General features: G+C 43.1%; 1 protein-coding gene across 42 annotated transcripts in view, besides 6 other annotated features; it reads right to left on the bottom strand.

Moving 5' to 3' along the window:
- INPP4A (inositol polyphosphate-4-phosphatase type I A) overlaps positions 1-10,335 on the bottom strand; it is a 149,806-nt gene extending 139,471 nt beyond the window's left edge. For 33 of the 42 annotated variants that reach the window (XR_922915.3, XR_007074203.1, XM_006712503.4 and 30 more), the window contains exon 1: positions 9,837-10,064. The gene's annotated coding sequence lies outside the window, so the exon portion shown is untranslated. Of the gene's footprint in view, positions 1-8,771; positions 8,913-9,836; positions 10,065-10,266 lie in introns of those variants that run through there. The other 9 variants (XM_047444199.1, XM_047444209.1, XM_047444204.1 and 6 more) reach the window with 2 other exon arrangements.
- Positions 9,595-10,234: a silencer, noted in NCBI's record as "silent region_11800". NCBI's record gives its function as "represses an Ori minimal core promoter by ATAC-STARR-seq in GM12878 lymphoblastoid cells {active_cell/tissue: GM12878}" and the evidence as "EXISTENCE:reporter gene assay evidence [ECO:0000049][PMID:35858748]".
- Positions 16,112-16,161: an enhancer, noted in NCBI's record as "active region_16258". NCBI's record gives its function as "activates an Ori minimal core promoter by ATAC-STARR-seq in GM12878 lymphoblastoid cells {active_cell/tissue: GM12878}" and the evidence as "EXISTENCE:reporter gene assay evidence [ECO:0000049][PMID:35858748]".
- Positions 17,824-18,567: an enhancer, noted in NCBI's record as "NANOG-H3K27ac hESC enhancer chr2:99052818-99053561 (GRCh37/hg19 assembly coordinates)". NCBI's record gives its function as "activates a minimal SCP1, AML or CMV promoter by ChIP-STARR-seq in primed H9 embryonic stem cells {active_cell/tissue: H9 hESC(primed)}" and the evidence as "EXISTENCE:reporter gene assay evidence [ECO:0000049][PMID:30033119]".
- Positions 17,824-19,553: a biological region, named in NCBI's record as "P300/CBP strongly-dependent group 1 enhancer GRCh37_chr2:99051832-99053031".
- Positions 18,354-19,553: an enhancer, noted in NCBI's record as "P300/CBP strongly-dependent group 1 enhancer chr2:99051832-99053031 (GRCh37/hg19 assembly coordinates)". NCBI's record gives its function as "activates an origin of replication core promoter dependent on BRD2, BRD4, P300/CBP, MED14 and CDK7 cofactors, with strong dependence on P300/CBP, by STARR-seq in HCT116 cells {active_cell/tissue: HCT116}" and the evidence as "EXISTENCE:reporter gene assay evidence [ECO:0000049][PMID:35650434]".
- Positions 18,568-19,312: an enhancer, noted in NCBI's record as "OCT4-NANOG-H3K27ac hESC enhancer chr2:99052073-99052817 (GRCh37/hg19 assembly coordinates)". NCBI's record gives its function as "activates a minimal SCP1, AML or CMV promoter by ChIP-STARR-seq in primed H9 embryonic stem cells {active_cell/tissue: H9 hESC(primed)}" and the evidence as "EXISTENCE:reporter gene assay evidence [ECO:0000049][PMID:30033119]".

The raw sequence follows: 23,959 nt of genomic DNA, 5'->3' as shown, positions 1-23,959 counted from the left end.
ATGAATAAGAAATGTGAAAATACTCAACATTTCAGCTCATACAATCCTTAGTCCTTCCATTCTTTAAAAAAACAGTGTCAGTAAAAGGCTCAGTTGGGTCAGTGACCAGCTGACTAAGAGTTTACAGAGTGCAAGCCCTCCACTTCCTCCTCCCACCCCCCGCCCACATCCTTCTCCTCTCAACTTCGCTGGATGTCCCTGCCTCTCAGCACCTCCCTCTTCTGTGATATTTCCCCTGGAAGGTACCCTGAGCAGGAGTCAACAATAGGGTGTACTCCAGCCCTTTGAGCACATGTGAAAAATAAGAGTACTGTGGGGAAAACAGTTACCAAGACTGTCAAGTGGAGCAGGGGTCGAAACATTCATGTTTGCACCGGTCCAGTGCACTGCAGTTCACAGCCCTCTCCTATGTATATTATCAATCCCCACCACCCTCCTGTGAGCCTAGCACCTTCCCCATTTTACAGATGAGAAAGCTGACTTGGGTTCACATCCAGCACTACAATCCAACTTGCCCCTACCCCCAAAAAACAAACACAGACATGCCAAAGCCACTACTACATAAGCTTTGTGATACAAACCAGACTAGCGCCTGCATTAAATAATGGGGATCATAGCTGACTCTAAGCCAGCCTTGGGAACTGTCCTGACAGTGTTAAGGCACAGAGGATTCCAGCGGGGAGTCAAAAGCAGCAATGCTTTCACTGGGGCCAGCCCCAAACAAGGAGACTCTCTCTCTCTCTCTTATGTAGAAATATGCTGATCCACCTGTTAGGTAAAGGACCCATCTGGCATCCAGAGTTAAATTTTTTTTTGAGAGGGAGTTTTGCCCTGTCACCCAGGCTGGAGTGCAGTGATGTGATCTCGGCTCACTGCAACCTCCACCTCCTGGGTTCAAGCGATTCTCCTGCCTCAGCCTCCCAAGTAGCTGGGATTACAGGTGTGCACCACCACACCCAGCTAATTTTTGTATTTTTAGTAGAGACGGGTTTTCACTACGTTGGCCAGGATGGTCTTGAACCCCCGACCTCAGGTGATCAACACACTGCCTGCCACTGTCTCTCCTGTCTGTCAGTGTGGCTGTGCAGAGGACTCCTCATCAGGAGGATTTGGCTCAGATGGCTTACTACCACGAACAATACGCCAGAGCAGGACCAGGCTCAGGACTTTGTGCCTGCTCCTCACGCCCCCAGCTCCACTCCCACTGGCCCTCACCACTGAAAGTCTCCTCTGGTTTTAGGTCATTGGTTCTTGATCTATGGCGAGTCACAGACCACCAGGTTCTGACAAAAGTCACAGGTCGCACGCCCAGGAAAAGACCCCAAGTGTATACACATCCAGCGTAGGCCCCACCTTCCTACAGGTTAGGACCCCCTGCACTCAGCCCTAGGGTTTGACACATCTTTACCAAAATCCACTCTAAGAAACAGTCACACCATAACAACACCCCAAATACACTACATGTGAATAACTAGATGTTTTACCAAAAAATGCTTATCCTTCCCATAGGAAACGTACTTGGATATTTGCTATTTCAAAAAGCTTTTTAATGCCAGTTACAACCTCAAATTGATTTCATGAACCACTGCATTTTGAAACATGCTGTGTGGACCCTTCTCTAGCATGTTTCCTCCTCAGGTGCCCTTCCTTCCGCAATAATTAGTGCTAATGTGGTTAGAGCTCAGTGCAAGACTACTCCTAAACGTTATTTTTATGTATTAAGATGAATCTTTAAAGCTGAAAACCCAGAAATATCTCAACTCTTTAGTTTCAGGAAAAATTCGGAAAAGTGGGTCATTGTGATCTCACAAATTACACCGTGGAGGTGGCTATTTATTTCACCCAAACATCAAGTTGGAGTTGTACTTGCAAAAAAGGGGACATAACACAGGTAAAAATCACCACTGAAAGTAGTCACTTGGGCTGTCTCCAGGCCAATTCCCTAAATATTTCTCAAGCACCTACTAACTGCACTGCTCTTTTTTCCTAGCTGAGCAAGGAGTAGCAGCGTAGGCAACCCCTACACAAATGAACACACTTCAGGAATGGCTTCAGAAGGTGAGTCATAACAGCTCTTTGGGACTCTTCAGCACCAGCCAGGTAGACTCCATCCCTGCTAGGCCAGAGAGGGACCTGGAGCTGGAGTGTTACTGAGGTTGCTTCCTTTAGCACCGAGCTGTACAGGGAGAGTACAGGCCATGCTTGGAGGAGCTGGAGAAGCTTGAGGCAAGGGGGCTGAGAAACTTATATGGGTGGACAAGCTGGCGAATGGGGGGCAGGGGAAGGACTCCGGAGAGCAAAGCGGCCCCCAGGGCCGTAAACACTGGCTAGTTCACACTGTGGGCTGGCCACCCACCATCCTCTCTTCCTTCTTGCTATTCTAGGACCTAACCTCCTCCCCGGTCCTCAGGAAAAGTCAGCCCTGTCTCCAGCTGGGGAGTAGGGGAGTCTTGATTAAACTAAAAGAGCTGTTCTCCAATGTGACCTTGCATCAGAATCACCTGGAAGTCTTCTTAAAGCACAGCTTTCTGGGCCCCATCCCAGAGTTTCTGATTCAGTGGGTGGGGTAGGATCCACTAATCTCCAGTTCTAACAAGTTCTCAGGTAATGCTGATGCTACTGGTCTGAGGACCACACCTGGAGGACCACCAGCCTAAGCCAACCAGCACACAGCACTCTCACAGCCTCATGTTGCTGGTCCAGGGAAGGCCACGTGACCCTTTGCTCCACAGGCCAGAGGGAAGGACTGGTAGACACTGTGGCTGGGGAATCAGCTGCTTTGTCTCCTTCCCTGCTCCTGCTGGACAGGAACAAGGAAGCACGCAGTCCCACTGCCCCCAACGACCATCTCAGAATCATGAGGAGACTAACCCCCTAGGATGAAACCGGCAGTGATGGCTGGACAGAGGAGCAGAATCGAGGTCCTTGATGAAACTGCTGACATGCTGATGGAGACTCCAGTTCTCTGAGATAATAAATGTCACTGTTGGCAACCAAAAGCATCCCAACTGACACACCCCATAATCCAGGGAGAAGCTTGAACTGGGCATCCTTGTTTCCTAGTAGAGCCCTGTTTCCCAGAAACAACCATCTGCCTAAATACTTCCTTCACATTTCCAGAGTTTATACACTTAGGTCATCCTTCTTGAAAATTCAAATTAATTGGTTTGAGAATACACCCTTTAGAGATGCAAGCAACATGAGAGAGGGAAAGAAGGGCGTTCAATATGCTAGGGTGAATTAATAATAGACAGCTTCCATAACAGCAGCTGACACCACCTGCGTGAGGGCTATGGGAGGGGCAGGAAAGGGGCAGGGGGTTTTCAGGAGACATCAGAATACCACCTAGTGAGGTGCAAAAAGAGGGGCGCTGCAGCAACCGGAGGTCAGGAAAACTACCAGGTGTCTCAGGGAAAGCGCTCTAGGAGGATCCCAGGACCGGAGCTGGCAGCGGGTAAACACTTTCCTCTTTCAGAGGTCCCCACCCTTCTTCCTGGACATCAGAGGACATCCCTGTCTTCCTGACCCTATTCCAGAAAATAGACCTCACCAGAGCATGATCCCCCCACTGCCCCCACCATATACATCTGCTTACTGTGCCTAAGTCCCTCGCCAGGTGAGCCTCACTGAACAAGTTTCATATTAAAAGGCCAGCAGTCTCACCCATGCTCCAGGTTAGGGCTGTGGGCAAACACCAGAGGCCAGCTGGGCTGGCTGGCTGGCAGGCCTGGGCCTGACAGCCTGATAGGGCATGACAAAGGTATGTGCAAAGACCAGAAAGAGACATGCACACTGCACCCAGGACCCTGGCTTTCCAATCCCAGACAGGCTATGGTGAAAGGGACAGCTAAGGCCGGGTGCAGTGGCTCATGCCTGTAATCCCAGCACTTTGGGGGGCAGAGGTGGGTGGATCACCTGAGGTGAGGAGTTCAAGAACAGCCTGGCCAACATGGTGAAACCCCGTCTCTACTAAAAATACAAAATTAGCCAGGCATGGTGGTATATGCCTGTAATCTCAGCTACTAGGGAGGGTGAGGCAGGAGTACTGCTTGAACCCAGGGGGCGGAGGTTGCAGTGAGCCGAGGTTGCAGGCTAGAGCCACTGCACTCTAGCCTAGGCGACAGAGTGAGACTCCATCTCAAAAAAAACAGAAAGAGACAACTAAGAGATTAAATCCACAGAGGAAAGGCTGATCTAATTCCAAGCTCTGCCAACCACCCACACTCTGTATACGAATCCATTGTAATGCTTCCGTTCTGCACACTTACTAGGCACCAGGATTAAATGTTAATTCATTTAATCCCCCAACAAGCCTCTGGGGCTGCTACTACCAGCAGCCCAGTTTTGTGGATGAAATAACTGAGGCACAGAAAGATTAAGCCACTTGCCCAAAGTCACACAGCTAGCTGGATGCTCACAGAAAGTGCAGCACCAGAGTCCACAATAGTTCTAGGGATAAAATAAATGGTTTCGAAAGATGTGTATGCTCAGCAAAAAGGACTGTGTAAAAGAAATTCCTGATTTATAAACCAAAATACTGAAAACAGAAATTGTTGATACTGGCAAATCCAGGTAATCAATTTTTATCCCTCATTGAAAAGCTTTCATTTTTCAATCCTGTGAAGGAAGTTAGGTGATATAACTGGGTTTTAGTCCCAGTTGAGCCTCTTTTAACTACCCTCGGGGGATGCTCTAACCACTCCTCAACACCACAGCTCACCTTTGGACAGAACCTCCCACAGGATGTCCAGGGAGGCCTGGCATGCAGGGGGTACTCAGAAAAGCTTGGGTTCCTTGTCATTTAGGACTTTAAAAAAAAATTAAAAAAGCATCACACTTAAAAAAACATTCTAAAGCTGCCAAGAATAAAATTCAAAGTTACCGTAACTTCCACAATCTAGTAAGATAAGGAAAAACAGCCCAACAAGAAAAAATGAACAAAGGATATAAACAGGTAATTCATTAGAAGTTAAAATATACATTAACAAGAAAAGGTATCCAATATTTTTGGTAATTTGGGAAATGCAATTAAAACAATAATGTCTTCCTTGCCCATTAGATTGGCAAAATTAACAAGATTTATTCTCTTAAATGTTGGCCAAGTTAAAGGGAAACAGACAGTTTCAAAGCCTAATGGAAGGAGTACAAATTTAAAAAGCAAGCCACAGAAAATTTTGTGTAATGTGACTACATTTATGTTTACAATGAGAGCATCTATCCCCTGAGAAGGTCTAGAATGGGTGACACCTCAGTAGCAACGAGAATACATAGTGCCTACATCTCGGTTTTTATACCACTCTCCACTAAAGGAAACCAGGACTCTTTGGAGAAATGGCTGATTCCAGGGCTGGGACAAGGAAAGTATAAGCTGAGTCCTTGAAGATTTTGTGCCTGGAAGAAAAGTCCTCAAAGAATGATGAGCACTTGTCAAAAGGACACAAAAGCCAGACTGAAGGGACTCCCACTGGCCAAATCTAGGATAATTTGAGCAACAAAATGCATAATGGGAGTAATGGACTATAATCTATTGAATAAAGCAAGAATTCATGAGTCCAGTGATGTAAATCAAAAAGTAAATAATAGAGAAAGGAAGGTTTCTTCCTTTCAGTACAGTTCCAACTAATAAATATAGAAGGAACCATGAAAATCATCATCTGCCTACTATCATAATAATTGACTCAGGTAAGAAACATCAATGAATTCTGAAACTAGTCAGTTAATTGTATGAGCAGTAACTATATTTACATAGTCTCAAATTCTCTTCCTTTAAGACACAGATTAACTACAAAGGGAAAAATGGTAACTTTTCCATGAGATAGACACCACCTTAATTCAAGTGATCAAAGTTAGCAGGGCCAGAGAATGGGATAATCACAGCATATGCCTCCTGATGGGATACATTAAGAAGGCTGCAGCATTATTCGGGCACAGTGGCTCACGCCTGTAAACTCAGCACTGTGGTCGGCCAACGCAGGAGGATGGCGAGAGTAGGAGTCTGAGACCAGCCTGGGCAACACAGTGTGAGATCCAGCCCCTATAAAATATTTAAAAATTGGCCAGGTGCAATGGCACACACCTATAGTCCAGCTACTCAGGAGGCTAAAGCAGAAGGATCACTGAGTGGAGTAGGTCCAAGCTGTAGTGAGCTGCCATGGCACCACTGCACTCCAACGAAGGGAGACCTTGTCTCTTTAAAAAAAAAAAAAAAAAAAGAGAGAGAGAGAGAGAAAAGAAGACTACAACTGCTTCAACCTTGTGCTACTCCCGCCAGAAGTGCATAACCTGAATCTAATCATGAAACCACAGGAAACCCAATTGAGGGCATTATCTTAAAAAGTCAGTAGTCTTCAAATATGTCTATGTCGTGAAATACAAAAGAAAGACGTGGTAACTTTCAGATTAAAGGACACTACAGAGACAGAAAAACTTAATGCAAAACAGATGATCTAGGATTTTCTTTTGCTATAAAGGACATTATCGAAGCAATTGACAAAATCTAAATACGACCTGTACACTAAATAGTGTTATATCAACATTAATTTCATGATTTTTTTTTTTTTTTTTTTTTGAGACAGTCTCACTCTGCTGCCTAGGCTAGAGTGCAGTGGTGTGATCTCGGCTCACTGCAACCTCCACCTCCTGAGTTCAAGAGATTCTCATGCCTTAGCCTCCCAAGTAGCTCGGACTACGAGCACACGCCACTATACCCAGCTAATTTTTGTATTTTTAGTAGAGACAGTATTTCATCATGTTGGCCAGGCTGGTCTCAAACTCCTGGACTCAAGTGATCCTCCCACCTCAGCCTCCCAAATTGCTGGGATTATAGGCATGAGCCACTGCGCCCGGCCATGATTTTTTTTTTTTTTTTTTTTTTTGAGACAGAGTCTCACTCTGTCCTCCAGGCTGGAGTGCAGTGGTGCGATCTCTGCTCACTGCAAGATCCGCCTCCCAGGTTCACGCCATTCTCCTGCCTCAGCCTCCCAAGCAGCTGGGACTACAGGCGCCCACCACTAAGCCCGGCTAATTTTTTGTATTTTTAGTAGAGATAGGGTTTCACCGTGTTAGCCAGGATGGTCTCGATCTCCTGATCTTGTGATCCGCCCGCCTCGGCCTCCCAAAGTGCGGGGATTACTGCTGTTATGAATATCCTTGTTTTTTGGGAAATACACAGTGAAGTATTTAGAGGTAAAAGGGCCTCAAGCCTGCAACTTACTATTAAGCAGTTCAGGAAAAAGTAGTAACACACAGGAATACAAGAGAATGATAAAGCAGTGTAACAGAATGTCCACATTTGGAGAATCTGAGAAACCTTTGGCTTATTCTTGCAACTTTTCTGTAAGTCTGAAACTATATCAAAATACTAAAAAAAAAAAATTAGAGAATAACATGTGCATATGAATAGAAATATAGGTAAATTCCCTGGGATTAGCTTCATGATGGTATTTTCCTTAAAAACACAGAGACAAAATGAAGCAAGCCTGCATGGGCGTTAATATTGGTCTCCTCAAAATATGTTTTCCTCACAGAACTTCTGTTTTAGGACACTGAAAAAAAAAGCCGTTTCGAAGGCTCTCTCAAGACCAGCTCATTAATCAAGTTCTACAGAAGCACCAACATAATCAAGCCTTTTTCGCTGCAGATTTGTGCTATTTTTTTCTCAGTGAAAGTCAAAGCCTCCTGACACCATGAGTAGTTGATGATGTTGTGGCAACTTTTCTGGAATACTAAACTGAAAAGGAGCTTTTCATTTAAAAACGAAAACAGGATGAAACAGTCTTGGTGGAAAGCCTCCCCCTCCACTCTGCCTCACTGAACTCTTGAGATGTTAAGCCCTGGGCTGGGGATCAGTGGGGCAGTCGGTCCCACACCGCCTTCAGGTCCATTCCCGTGTGCATTTGAAGAGATGTTGGCTGAGAACGCTCCCTCTTAGGCAGGCAGCTGGTTAAAGGGACTTGCAGGGCTGATAGTTCTCTGTCATACACATCCCATTTTTCTAGTGCTCTACAGTTTACAAATAGCTCTCGTGTATTATTTTATTTCATCCTTCCTTAAAGTGATTTTTTTTTAAAAAACGCTAATATTCAGTTTAACAGCAATACTACAAAATATCCAGTTTTGAAAACAGGGAGGCACTATAATATCTGCCCTTGGTTCTGAATCTAGTTGGGAAACAAGACTTACCCAAGCAGATTAAACACCCTGAGACAGAATAATCTAAATGAAAAAAGTAGCTACATGATGAGTAAGGTGGCCAGGTAAGCAGACTAATTCTATAAGGAGCTCAGTAGAAACACAATGTTTCTTTCTCTTTGAATTTGTCCACATCCATTTCTTTAAGCCTTTTCTTCAAGCCAAACTCTACCAAGCAGCTCTGGCTTCACAGGCGTGTTTACTAGACATCACAGGGAATGAGGCACCGAGAGGCCCGTTCACATGCAACGCCACCCCTGGGACAGACAGCATCACGGCCTCCTGGCACCACTCCTGCAACAGACCAACCACACTGCCCTTCTTACATGGGCCCCATCATTCATCTTTCTTCAAAGAAAACAGTACATTAGCAGTCGACACTTCAGCAAAGAACCCCCAAAACAAATGCCCTAGCCTAGATCCAAAAACAAAATTTCCGTTAAAGAAAGTGTGTTTTTCAACCAAAGAAAAATTAGGCTCAATTCTAGGACAACCTATAGCAAGCAATTCTACGTGCACTGGCCAACGCCAACAGCAGCTAGATTCCAAAACAAACTCAGCAAAAAAGGCTCTGCTCTCACCTTTTAGAGATAAGAACCAGAGTCAGCAAGCGGCAGAACCATGATTCACACCGAAGTCAACCCACTCTGTCCTCAACCCCACTGGCTTCCCCATGGTCCACACAACCCACTGTGAACAGATGGACCAGTCAGAATTTCTCTGCAACACCCAAATCGCCACCCCACCCCCATTCCCTTGGTTTAAATGCCCTGAGGGGCAGGCGACAAATCAAATTCCACTCTTAGGCAGGTTCCCAACACAAGACACATTCAGTGGCAAAGCAAAAGAGAAGATGGGCTCTACCACATATAGGTCTTTCTTACCCAGAGGAACATTTTCATGGTCTGTCATTACGGATGAACTCGGGGCAGGAAGAACCCATCATTATGTAATGTCAGAGGGCAGGCGACAGGGGAAGGGAAGCGAGACCATCAACATTCCCTTCCTTCGCCCACAAAGACACAAATTTACCTCTGACATTTTGAACGTCTGTCTTCTGGGGCCTACCCATTCCTGGCTGGCTTTTCAAGAGACAGCCACAGATCCCTGCACATTTCTCAGGCCTCAATTAATTGACTAGCAAAGCCAGAGAGAAATAAAATATAGAAAGCAAAGATGCTAGAAATGTTGTCGGGGTCTAAAGGCAGGCAGAAAATGGAAGAGTTTCGAGGATGGAGACCAGATTTCCCACACGGAGATGCATGTTTACTTTCACCCGGTTATGTTTCCACCCCAAACACGGCAAGGCCTCCAGCTTCAGGAGCCCGTAGACCCAGCCCTGGAGCCGCATCGGGCAGGCACCGCGTCTGCGTCCCGCGGCCACGCGCCCGCTCGGCACCCGGCTCCCTGCTGGGGCGGCCGCGTCTTCACGGGGCTGGGGGTCGGCCGGGCTCGGATTGTTCTCAAAAGACGCCACCGCAGGTGGACCACTGGCACCGTTAGGCAGTGCAATTTCCATGAAAACCGCGGGCGCCGTCCACATCCGCCCCAGCGGGGACCTGGACGCGCCCCCGCGCCCGCTGTCCGTCCCCGGCCCCGGCCCCCGCGGCGGCCGCGTCGCCTCCTGCCCGGCCCGGCCCACCTACCTGGCGCTCCCCGGCCCCCGGCGCCAGCCGCCCCGCTGTCCCGCCGGGCTGCGCGCCAGAGCCCCGCAGCAGCAGCAGCGCCGCCGCCTGGCTGTGAAGTCGCGGGCTGCGGGCCCGGCCTCAGGTGCTGGTCCTCCTGCCCCGGCCCACGGAGCCCGACCCGGCGGCAAACCAGCAGCGAACCCTCCACGCGCGCCGCAGCCCTAGCCAGCCGCCGCCGCTCTAGACGCCGGGCGCAGCCCCGCCCTGGCCCCGCCCCCTTGTCGCGCATGCGCGCTGAGGGCCCGGCCCGCGCCCTGCGACCCCCGCCCCACTACCAGCCCGAGCTGGGTCCGCCCTCTGAGACAGTAGGGCCGGTGACCGAGCTGCTCGCGCCAATTCCTACTGCTAGGTTCCCACAAGATCCCACCCTATCCTGTGACTGCTTCACCTGCAAGGAGTTCTTGAACTTCTGGACTTGACTGAGCGATGGCATCTTCACCCTGTCATCCACTGAGGCATCTGAGGCCCTGACGGATCCCCAAGGGAAAGTTTCCTGGAGGAGCCGCGACCCGGGGATGCGCCCCCAACCTTTTGCCCTCCGGACAAGAGCACTTCCTGAAGTGCAGACGTACTCACTCCCCAGGAGATGTTTAGGAAACTGAACATTCCAACCAGACAAGCAAAAAATTAAAATCTTAATTCTTTGAAAATACAGACTTGCAAAAAAAAGAAAATTGCTAACCTCTAAGTGTATGTCCTTCCGGACCTGTTCTGGCCTGTGTGCATAAGTGTGCACTAACAGACTTGCAACAGCATCAGTCCTTACACTTTGCCCCAAGTTTCTATTTTTCCATAGACAAAAACAATAATCAGAAGTTTTGGAAGAAAATTTTCACTTTGACTTTAAAACAGCATTTCTCCTTGAGCAAGGGCAAATACTGGACTGAATGTATCCTTATCTTTGAGTCTTCACATTTTATCCGAAAAAAAAATTCTTAAAATGATTTTAATTCAATAAACCAGAATACTTCTCAGGCAGAGCATTTAAACATATAATTTGCTTCAAAAACAAAAGAGATTAACCAGTTAGGAATGGAAATTAAGAATTCTCTGAACTCATTTAGAATTATGTCTGATCCTCCTCATGTCACCAAAATACAGACAATAGTCTGGAATAAAAATAAACAAATATAAAACGAGTTTTTTGGGGAGCCTGAGGCAGGAGCATCGATTGAGCAGAGGAATTTGAGGCTGCAGTGTCAGCCTGGGAGACAGAGCAACACCCTGTATCTCTAAAAAAAAAAAAAAAAAAAAGAAAAGAAAAGAAAAGAAAAAAGAAAAAGAAAATGTCCTAGTTTTAAATTTTTATTTCTTTACTTTTTATTTTATTTCTCTTCTGAAAAGTAACTTAGTAATAAAACAGTTCCCTCTTATTATTTCTCCAGCTAAATGGAAAGAAATATTGACAGAACCTTGACTCCACAGTACAAAGTTAAAGCCAAGAAAATCAAATTTGTAGAAATGCAAAAATATTTTTGCATTTTTTTTAATTACTGTGACCAATTAGTTTGCTTGGAACAGCCCCAGTTTACATCTTTTTGCAGCAAAATTATTAATAGGGCCCTCTTTCACTCTCAAATGTATTCCTGTTCAAACAATAAATTTTATGGCCATGCTGTTTATTTATTTATTTTTGGGATGGAGTTTCGCTCTTTTTGCCTAGGCTGGAATGCAATGGCGCGATCTCGGCTCACCGCAACCTCTGCCTCCCAGGTTCAAGCAATTCTCCTGCCTCAGCCTCCCAAGTAGCTGGGATTACAGGCATGTGCCACCACCCTGGCTAAATTTGTATTTTTAGTAGAGACAGGGTTTCTCCATGTTGGTCAGGCTGGTCTTGAACTCCTGACCTCAGGTGATCCACCCGCCTCGGCCTCCCAAGGTGCTGGAATTACAGGCGTGAGCCACCACGCCTGGCAGTCATAATCAAGCTAAGAAAGTTGTTAAACACTAACTTTTAAAAAAGAAAAAAAAATTAAATTTATAAAGATTTAAAAATAGATATCAGTCTAATTTCAGTATTCATTCATTTAGTACAGTAACACTGAATGAGGATCAGCTTCCAATAACATCTGTCACTTGACTGTTATGTAATTCTGGATAATCTTCAAAGATCAATCACATTTTCAGTGTGGCAAAGAATGAGGCCCTAATTCCACCGTAGAATGAAAATTATCAAGAGAAAAGGGAGCCATGTGTTAGTTAATACTGTAAAAGGAAAATAAAATCTCGGGACCCCCAAACTCACTACTCCAAAGGGAAAAGCTAAGCTTGGGAACTGAATCATGCAAAAAAAACTGCCTTCCTTTTGTTCCTAAAGAGATAGCTGCAAGATAGAAGGCCACATATCTCCCCAGGTGGCCTCCCTCACCCTGACAATGTAAATTAACAGCTTATCGTCACAGGAATGGGACAAAGACAAGCGGAGGAATCATCCTTCCACCCACCCCAAGACAAATGCATATTTGACCTCTTCCTCTACTCTCTGTTTACTTACCTTATGTAAAAATGCATAATTCACTGTTCTTCTTTCCCCTCCTGCCCACTTTTTCCTCTTTAAGTATTGAAGTCCCCAAAACCCTCTTGGGAAAAAGCATAGGCCACAGATCCTACTGATCCTACTGTAGTTTGTGCCTCATTTTCCCAGTTGCATCCTCAACCTTGGCAAAATAAACCTCTAAATTGACAGATCTGTCTCAGACACCTTTTGGTTTACAATATCATGCTATATCTTCCCTAAGCATCACGATGTGATAGCTAAGTATGCTGGTGGTAAAGTATCTCAGTCCTTCAGAAGTTCTCAACATGGGGTCCCTAACCAGTCACATCAACATCCTCCCAGAACTTGCTAGAAATGCAAATTCCCAGACCCCATCCCAGATCTGCTGAATCAGAAACTCTAGAAGTGGGGCCAAGTGACCTGTATTTTAACAAGCCCTCCAAGGGATTCTGATGAACATACTGACTTAAATGATCTATATACAATAAGTAAGCTTAAGGGAGGGGACCACCCCTCATATTGTCTTATGCCCAATTTCTGCCTCCAAAGAAAGAAGAAGTAAAAACTGAAAGGCAGAAATGAAATCCACAGGCAGACAGCCCAGCGCCGCGCCCTAGGCCTGCTAGTTAAAGATTGACCCCTGACCTAACCAGTTATGTTATCTATAGATTCCAGATATTGTATGGAAAAGCATTGTAAAAATCCCTGTCCTGTCCTGTTCCATTCTGATTACCCGTGCATGCAGCCCCCAGTCATGTACCCCTACTTGCTCGATTGATCATGACCCTCTCACACGGACCCCCTTAGAGTTGTGAGCCCTTAAAAGGGACAGGAATTGCTCACTCAGGGAGCTTGGCTCTTGAGACAGGAGTCTTGCCGGTGCTGCCGACTGAATAAACCCCTTCCTTCTTTAACTCAGTGTCAAGGAGTTTTGTCTGTGGCTCGACCTGCTGCAAGCTGATTCAGATTATCTACATACAATAATTAAGAGGTGAACAGTGTTATCTTTAGGACTAGAACCATCCTACATGAGAATTTATCTTCAGGCCATTTAACAGGATATTTTTGTAGGGATACAGTCAGCTATCCAAATCTATGGTTTCCACATCCATGGATTCAACCAAATCACAGATCAAAAATGTCTGGAAAAAAAAATCGCATCTGTACTGAACTTGTATGGACTTTTTTTTCTTGTCATTATTCCTTAAACAATAGAGTATAACAATGATTTACATAACATTTACATTGTATTAAGTATTATAAGTAATCTAGAGATGATTGAAAGTATACAGGAGGATGTGCATAGGTTATATGAAAAAAACTACCCCATTTTATATAAGGGACATGAGCATCCATGGATTTTCATATCCACCAGAGGTCCTGGAACCAATCTCCCATGGATACTGAGGGACGACTACATAGAATATGTGTAACCTTGAGGCTGAGCACGGTGGCTCCACCTGTAATCTCAGCATTTGGGGAGGCTGAGGCGGGAGGATCACTTGAGGTCAGGAGTTTGAGACCAGCCTGGCCAACATGATGAAACCCTGTCTCTACTTGAAATATAAAAATTAGCCTGGCATAGTGGTGCATGCTTGTAATCCCAGCTACTCAGGAGGTTAAGGCACAAGAATCACTTGAACCCAGGAGGCAGGGGTTGCAGTGAGCCTGGGCAACAAAGTGAGACCCTGTCTCAAAAAAAAAAAAAAAGAAGAAGAAGAAGAAAGAGTATGTGTAACCTTGAAAACCAACAGCCCTGCAACCATAAGAGCAGTCTAGCAGCCACTGGAGGGACAAAAAGGATGTGGAGCACCTGAAAGAGCCCCATCCCCAGAGTCTTGGCACTATTTACTTGTCTGGCAGCTTCCTGGAAAAGCTACATTCCCAGGGTTTGTCTTTAATTGGCATAACTCAGAGCTTGCCCTGTGCAAATGGTCCTCTCCACAGGGCATTGTTGAAAACAATCAGTAACAATTGTTTAATATTACAGCAGCCTCAGGTAGTGACACCAGTTACAGCTAACAATAGGCTGACTGAAAAACTTGAAAAAGAAAAATGAAGAATGAGATGTCCATGGGGAGGGGGCATTAAAAAGATTTAACATAAGCTGCCTGGTGGCACATGCCTATGGTCCCAGCTACTCAGGAGGCTGAGGTGGAAGGATCACTCGAGCCCAGGAGTTTGAGGCTGTAGTGTGTTATGATTGCACCTGTGAATAGCCACTGGACAACATAGCAAGATCTCAACTATGCTATGGGCAACATAGCAAGATCTCATCTAACAGAAAAAAAAAAAAGATTAACATATTTCTGGAAATCTGAGAATGCCCAGGTTTTACTTCTGGCTAACTGTGAGGCTTTGAGCAAGCAGGATGTGAAGGCTGAGGCAAAGCTGTGAATTGTCTGCCTGAAAATTGAAGGCATGCATTAATATGCACACATAGTCCCACCATAAACAAAGGAAAAAAAAATCTTTGATTCTAGCATTTGAGGAATGATAGAGCATTTCTCTCATCATTAGTGAACAATTAAGCTAACTGAGTAAGGACTACAAATGGCTACAGTGACGTATCAGTGACTACAGATGACAAAGAATACAGACTTTACAAAATTAGTCCAAGAAAGGCATCAAAGAAATAAAAACAGTAACAACAGCAAACCCTGGGGGAAAGGGAAACATGGTTTTCAGAGTTGCCACATTACATTATTTTTAGTGTCTATATTTTAGCAAAAAGTTGTAAGACACATAAACAGGCAGAAAAGGACACAGGCTGGAAGGCAGTCAACAGACTGTCATTAAAAATGCATAAATTGTAGACTTACTAGACGAAGACCTAAAATTAGCTATTATAAATGTGTTCAAAGAACTGATGGAAACCATGTGTCAAAAATTAAAGGAAAGTATGAGAACAATATCTCACCAAAAAGAGAGTGTAGTTAAAGATATAGGAATTATATAACTATATATAAAGAAACTCTGTAATTGAAAGGTATAATAACTGAAATGAAAAATCCATTATAGGGGGACAATAGCAGGATTGAGTGGCAGAAGAATTAGCAAAATTGAGGATAAGTCCATGGATACTGCCTAGTCTGAGGAACATATAGGAAAAATCAATGAAGAAAGATGAACAGAGCCTAAGAGATCAGTAGACGCCATCAAGTATGCTAAGATATATCTAGTACCAATTGGGAGTACCAGAAGGAGAGGAGGGAGATAAAAGTGCAGAAAAAAATATTCACTAAAACCTTTCCAAATTTGATTTAAAAATTAATCTATAATCCAAAAATTTCAACAAACTCCAACTAAAATGAACTCAAAGAGAAGCATACTGAGATACATCATAATCAAACTGTCAACTAAAATGAACTCAAAGAGAAGCATACTGAGATACATCATAATCAAACTATCTAAAACCAAAGATGGAGAGACTCTTGAAAGCAGCAAGAAACAAGCAACTCCTCATGTACAAAGAATCCTCAATAAAATTAACAACTGTTTTCTCACCAGAAACCATAGAGACCAGAAGGCAGTAAGATGACACATTCAAAGTAATAAAAGGAACGGAAGGAAGAGCAGACCTAGAATTCTATATTCAGCAAAACTGTCCTTGAAAATGAAAGAGAAATTAAGACTACCTCAGACAAACAGAAACTGAGTGAATTCATTACTAGCAGATCCACCCACTAAGAAGCACTAAAGGAGTCCTTTAGGCTGAAATAAAATGTCATTAGAGAGTAACTCAAATTCATACAAAGAAAAACAACTAAGGCAAATTTAAAGTCAGTGTGTAATGCCTTTCTTCTCACTGATTTAAAAGACAACTGCATAAAAAGTAAGCATAAGTCTGTGTTGATGGGCTCATAATGTAAAAAGATAGAATTTGTATGACAATAATAGCACAAAGAAGTGGGGGAGTAAAGAGAGCTTAACTGGAGCACAGTTTGTGTATGTCATTGAAATTAAGTTCTAAAAACTCAATTGTTTTAAATTGAGAAGCTAACTGTAACCTCCAGAACAAATACTAAGAAAATGACTTTATGTATACATATTTAAATAAAACCAGGAAATTAAAATAGCATACTAGAAAATGCCTATTTACCACAAAAGAAGACAGTAATGAGTAATAGAGGAACACACAGGATATAAGATATATAGAAAATACACAGCAAATGACAGACATCAGTACTACTTTATCTCAAGTTATATTAAATGTAAATGTGGCTGAGTGTGTGGTTCATGCCTGCAATCCCAGCACTTTGGGAGGCTGAGGTGGGAGAACTGTTTGAGGTCATGCATTCAAGTCCAGCCTAAGCAACATAGTGAGACCCCATTTCTAGAAAAATTTTTTAAAATATTAGCCAGGCACGGTGGCTCACACTTGTAGTTTCAACTATTTAGGAGGCTGAGATGGGAGGATCACTTGAGCCCAGGAATTTTAGGCTACAGTGAACTATCATTGCACCACAGTACTCCAGCCTGAGTGACAGAGCAAGACTCTGTCTCAATCAATCAATGGATCAGTAAAAATGTATTAAATACTCCAATCAAAAAGCAGAGATTGTCTGAATGGACTTTTAAAAAATATGATCCAACTGCACATTGTGTACAGAGATGAATGTAAATTTTAAGGTATAAATAGGTTTAAGGTAAAATGATGAACAAAGGTATACCACAGAAACAATAACCAACAGAATACTGAAGAAGTTATACTAATATAATACAAAACAAACTTAAAACAAAACAAAAATACTACTGACAAACAGAGACATTTTATAATTGTAACAAGTTTAAACTATGAGGAAGAGATAGTAATTATAGACATATATACATCCACAATAGAACCCGAGAATACATGTAGCAAAAACAGAATTGAAGTGAGAAGTGAACATTGTAATAGTAGTAATTGATTATTGCAGTACTCCACTTTAAGTAATGGATAAAATAATGAAGTAAATCTAAAAGGATATATAAAACATTAACAATACCATAAGCCAACTAGATTTAACAAAGTTGTAGAATATTCCACCCAACAATAACAGAACATACCTCATGTTCAACTGTACATGAAATATCCTCTAGGATAGATTATATGGTAGGACTTTTAAAAGCCTAAATAAATAAAAAAGAATTGAAGTCATACAAATTATGTTCTCTGAGCACAATGGAATTAAAACAGAAATCAACAACAGAAGGAAATTTGGGAAATTTACAAGTAAATGGAAATTAAACAACACAGTTCTCGGTAACCAAAGGGTCAAAGAAGAACTCAGAAGGGAAATTAGAAAATATTTTGAGAAAAATTAATGTGAAAACTCAACATACTGTTGCAGAGCATTGCTCCTTAGTTCCCCTAAACTCTGGTTCTTGTCACAAGACCAGGAAAATTTAGGCACACAGACGACACACTGAAGGGTGAGTAGAGCAGGATATTATTGGGCAAAAAAGGAAAAAAAAAAAAAACTCAGCAAAGCAAGACGCAGTCCTGCTAACAGGACTCACAGATTGAATCCCAGGCCACTACACAGGAAAGGAGAGGCCAGGCTCCTCCCCACTGCAAACGGCACAAACTTTCCCTGGCTCCACCCTGTTCTCCCAGTGTGCAGGCCCATGGGAGGTTCTCTGGGGACCTTCCCCCTTATCTGCCTCCTGCATCTATCATTTCCCCCTCTAAAGAAGTACATCTAACTGCTGTTAGAATAAGAATAAGGATCAGGACAAAGGCCGATCTTAACTGCTTCATGCTGACAGGAGGCACTGTTTGAGGAAAACGGCAGTCAGAGCTCCCTCAGAGGCCTATCTAAGGGTCCCTGGCAGAAGGGGCTGTGGTCCAAGGCTCCAGTTGCATGACCGTTTGGAGTTTCACGGCCTGAAGGCAAGAAAAGACAAACTGGGTTATTAGAAAACATATATCAGCCAGGTGCGGTGGCTCATGCCTGTAATCTCAGCACTTTGGGAGGCCAAAGTGGGCGGATCACTTGAGGCCAGGAGTTCAAGACCAGCCTGGCCAACATGGTGAAACCCTGTCTCTACTAAAAATACAAAAATTAGCCAGGTATGGTGGTGGGTGCTTATAATCCCAGCTACTCAGGAGGCTGAGGCAGGAGAATCTCTTGAACCCAGGAGGCAGAGGTTGCAGTGAGCCGAGATCACACCGCTGCACTCCAGCCTGGGCAACAGAACAAGCTTCTGTCTCAGAAAAAAAATTAAAAAGAAGAAGAAAAGAAAGAAAATGTGTATCAAAATGAAATAAGGGTGGGTATTGGGGGAATCTGCCTCCGATAATTCAACGAGGGTCCTTTTCTATTTTCCATAAGTGTCGGCCGGTCTGAGAAATAAAGGGAAAGAGTACAAAAGAGAGAAATTTTAAAGCTGGGTGTCCGGGGGAGACATCACATGTTGGCAGGTTCCGTGATGCCCCCTGAGCCGTAAAACCAGCAAGTTTTTATTAGCAATTTTCAAAAGGGAGGGTGTGTACGAATAGGGTGTGGGTCACAGAGATCACATGCTTCAAGGGTGACAAAAGATCACAAGGCAGAAGGTCAGGGTGAAACTAGAATCACTAATGAACTTCCATGTCCCACTGTGCATGCATTTTCAGGGTTCAAGAGCAGAAAACCGGTCTGACTGGAATTTGCCAGGCTGGAATTTCCTAATCCTAGCAAGCCTGGGCATGCTGCAGGAGACTAGGGTGTGTTTCATCCCTATCTGCATCTGCATAAGGCAGACACTCCTAGGGCAGCCATTGTAGAGGCCCCGCCCTGGGAATGCATTCTTTTCCCAGGGCTGTTAATTATTAATATTCCTTACTGGGGAAAGAATTCAGCGATATTTCTCTTACCCATTTTCAGTAATAAGAGAAATATGGCTCTGTCCTGCCCAGCCCACAGGCAGCCAGACTTTAAGATTATCTCCCTTGTTCCCTGAACATCACTGTTATCCTGTTCTTTTTTCAAGGTGCCCAGATTTCATATTTTTTAAACACACATGCTCTACAAATAATTTGTGCAGTTAACGCAATCATCACAGGGTCTTGAGGCGACATTCATCATCAGCTTATGAAGATGACGGGATTCAGAGATTAAAGTAAAGACAGGCATAGGAAATCACAAGAGTATTGATTGGGAAAGTGATAAATGTCCATGAAATCTTCACAATTTATGTTCTTCTGCCATGGCTTCAGCCGGTCCCTCCATTCGGGGTCCTTGACTTCCTGCAACAGCGGGGGTAAGGGCAGCTCAAAAATCCTGAGGCCTTTTACCAGTTTGCGCAGGGAGGAGACACCAAAAGTCTGACTGCTAAAAAAACTTATACTCTTTTGCCCCATATTAGACTTCTGGGTTCCCTTCCCCTGAGCCCAATCCTAAGCCAACCAGTCTAAGGTTTGGGAAATTAACTCTTCCCAGTTTGGAGGATGCATCTGAAGGGAGCGTCCCATAGTACAGAGATACAATTAACTATCAGTGAACAGGACAAAGGAGGAAAAAGGAGGCATTTTTTCAGAGAAGTCTCAGGGGTTCAGGAAGCACTGCAGAGGAATGGCTACTCATCCAGAAAGAGGGTAGCAGGTGACCCTGGTTCCTTTCTCTTCCTAGCAAATCCCTTGTGTATGTGAGGGAGGAAAAGTTAGGTGTTCCTTTTTCTTTCCTCCATCCTTGTATCCCTGAGTCCCAGCAACTGCCACAGAGTGCCATGCATGGGTGTCAAAATGGCTTTCATCCATGTTAGTGGGAGTTGGGGGTTGGGGGTGGGAATATCCCTATCTCCCCTGCTGTCAGTAGCCCTTGAATTCCCTAGACTTCATTTATGCCATGGATTCTAGCATGACCTTTATCCATGAAACAAGAAGCTTGGCTTAATGGGCAGGAATTAGTCATGCTCACCTGCACTGTGCCTTTTAACTTCCATTATGAACTGCCTCTGGAATCCTGGGATCCTGTTTTCTTTCCTACGGCTTTGACCCGAAGCTTGGAAGTGAGTTTGGGACAAAAATGTGTCTTGGGGCGATTGTATGGACTCCTTATCATAAGCTCAATGCTAAGGTTAAGCTGTGGAATTGAGTCCTCCTCCAACAAGGGAAAGAAAAGGATGTCTTGTGACACACCCAGATAACTGGTGGCTATAGTTATGCTTGCTAAGATTTGAGTGCATGGGACTTGGCTTTGGTTAGCTCCCTTGGTCTTACTTTCCCAAAAAGGAAACCTCCAGGTGATGGGCATCCTATTTATTGCCATCACCTGGCAGGATTTGCAGGATAATTGCTCAGAACTAGAATATTGATCCAGATTTTTATATAACATCCCTATTGTTCTTTCTGAGCTGCAGCCAGAGATTGCTGGTTGGTTCACAGGAACAAGCAGGGTTAGTCTAAAATGTAGACAAAAACTTAAAACCAACTAACAAGTCTAGAATCTAATGATGATAAGTTTTGAAATAAATTATAATTTCTCTCTCCCTAGTCATCATTTCTATTAAAAACAAATCATGATAAGACTGTGTTGTTTGCACAATAGAATTTAGTCTTATACTTTGCCTGATTATTTGCATAAAGTGCAACAAAAATGATTATTTATACATAGGCCTTTTAGATTGGCTTTGATGGAACTCTGTTCCACAAGAAATCTCAGATAAGACCTTTTAAAGCTGAGCCCAGCCATGGGTTTGTATCCTCAAATACTTGTGAGTTGGGTAAACTCCTCTTCTCTTGAGGTCCCAAGAGCATGTGGTTCCTGAGCCTGTTGGAGAGTGACATTTTTTACTCATCACAGGTTAGGAACCCTCTAGGGGGACTGTGTAGACAAAAGTACGAGGCCAGTTTTCCCAAGGGGCTTTTATTGGCTCTGCAAGTCAAGCTTGACTTCTGATATGATTTGGCTCTGTGTCCCCCAATTCTCATCTTGAATTGTACTCCCATAATTCCCATGTGTTGTGGGAGGGACTTGCTGGGAGATCACTGAATCATGGGGGTGGTTCCCCCATACTATTCTGTGGTAATGAATGAGTCTCACGAGATTTGATGGTTTTATCAGGGGTTTCCACTTTTACATCTTCCTCATTCTCTCTTTGACTGCTGCCATCCATGTAAGAAAGGACTTGCTCCTCCTTGCCTTCCACTGTGATTTTGAGGCTTCCCCAGCCATATGGAACTGTTAAGTCCAATTAAATCTCTTTCTTTTGTAAATTGCCTAGTCTCAGGTATGTCCTTATCAGCAGCATTAAAACAGACTAATACAACTCCTTAAAGGGAAGCATACCTTTCTAGTCTAAGCCTTGGTAAAACAACCAGTTTCTTCAATTGCAACCTGTTGCAAAAGAAAATGGATTCTTACTGCACTCATGCAAACAACTATATTGCCATAAGCCAAGAATACTCACAGATAGTTTCCAAATTCTAGAGGAACCAGGCAGAGAGAAACAAACATGCTCCAAATTTTGTTCACAGGAGTATAGCTTTCTCAATTATTAAAGACCATAAATAGCTCAAAATAAGCTTCCTTGGCTCTGAAAAACAAAATAAGGATTAGCATGTTCCAAGCACAGTCAAAAAGATTTCTTCAATTTTCTATTAGTTCAGTCCATCCAGTAGCTCTTGCTTTGCTTGATATTGGTGAACATTTCAGCTCTAAATGAATCCTATATGTTTTTCCTTTATTCCAATGTCACAGTCTCCAAGGTTATGAGAAACCTGTATTTGAAAGCACCTGTCAGAGTCCTATAGCTTAATATAGTCCATACTTTGAAAAGGATCAAAACAAGACAACAATTGTGAATAACAAAATGTCCAGGGTAGTTACAGTCAGAAACACAATTGGCAAAAATGTTTGGTAATGTCTGTGGTTTAAAATAACATAACCACCTTAATTATGATTTAGCATATACTTTAGATATTAGAATTTTAGAAATCCCATACAACTTTGGAATATATATTAGTATTATTCACCAAAATATAACCTAAAGAAGATTGAACACCATTTTGGCAATCCCATGTAACTAAATATGTCAAATAATCCTGTTTACCTCTCTTTTGGATACTCCAGGGGCCCTCTGTAGCATCCAAATGTCAGGCATCAGGAAAGACAATTTTGAAACTGAAGTTTGATTTTAGGAAGTCTGTTAAAATATGTTAGAAGTTTAAAACACTTGATGTTATGAAATAGAATTCCAGATTACCATGTTACTTATTTTGCCAAAATGATGACTCAGAAGTTTAAAAAACAAAAACCTTTTATAACCCTAACAAATTTTGCTAAAGAGAATATTAGTGCCTTAAGAGTACCTTGCTGTGCTTTTATTTCAATGCTCAATTTACAGAAAAATCATATAATACCCTTTTGAATTTAGTCAATATATTCACACATGGAATTTTTGCAAGATTAATTTTTACAATCCTTCCATTATTTGTTTAAACCTTCAGCTTTATCTTATCTAATTCAAAAATCATCCTTTAACCCTAGGCAAGGATTTACATTTCCATGCTTTTGTACAATCTTTTACTAAAAACACATCTTACTGTTCTTATGCACCTCACATGTAAATCTATTTCCAGTACTTTCAATTTCATGTTATAATGGTCATTCTTAGCGATTTTTAACTTTAATGCAAAACCTAGTAATTTAATTATGTGCTGGGTGCAGCCAAGGTTTGACTGCTTCCAGCATAATTAAGGGCATGGTTAATTCCATATGTTCCCAGGCCTTACCAATTGTGAAGCAGGCAAGTCAAACAGTTCTCAAAAACCAAAAAGGCAGTTTATAACCTTAAAACATTTAGCAAACTTAGTATCTGACCTGCATAATTTAGTTCACCTATTTACATTTTGAGGACATCTGCATTTCACCAATAATTTTTAAGGCTGTTTTTATTTCTCAAAGATTAAAGTCATGTGAACTAAAAGGTACCACAGCTTTTATTTTCCCTTTAAAAAATATTTGATCCAAGCACTGTTGGGAACAAGCCCCCCAAAATCTGGCCATAAACTGGCCCCAAAACTGTCCATAAACAAAATCTCTGCAGCACTGTGACATGTTCATGATGGCCATAAAGCCCATGCTGGAAGATCGTGAGTTTATGGGAATGAGTGCAAGGAACACCTGGCCCGCCCAGGGTGGAAAACAGCTTAAAGGCATTCTTAAGTGACAAACAATAGCACGAGTGATCTGTGCCTTAAGGACATGCTCCTGCTGCAGTTAGCTAGCCCAACCTATTCCTTTAATTTGGCCCATCCCTTCGTTTCCCATAAGGGATACTTTTAGTTAATTTAATATCTATAGAAACAATGCTAATGACTGGTTTGCTGTTAATAAATATGTGGGTAAATCTTTGTTCGGGGCTCTCAGCTCTGAAGGCTGTGAGACCCCTGATTTCCCACTTCACACCTCTATATTTCTTTGTGTGTGTCTTTAATTCTTCTAGCGCTGCTGGGTTAGGGTCTCCCCGACCGAGCTGGTCTCGGCAAAGCACTGATCTTCCTTTAGGCCAATTAATTAGAGGTCTTTTTATAGACATTACACACACGATGCATATATAATGAGAGTAGCAAGAGAAAATGGAGAAAAAGAATTTAGTCAACTGAGAAAAAACCCGT

The sequence above is a fragment of the Homo sapiens genome, chromosome 2 (assembly GCF_000001405.40).
Source record: "Homo sapiens chromosome 2, GRCh38.p14 Primary Assembly".
In the NCBI taxonomy this organism is placed as follows: domain Eukaryota; kingdom Metazoa; phylum Chordata; class Mammalia; order Primates; family Hominidae; genus Homo; species Homo sapiens.
Note: the sequence above shows the minus strand (reverse complement) of the source record. Positions and strands in the feature narration are given on the sequence as shown.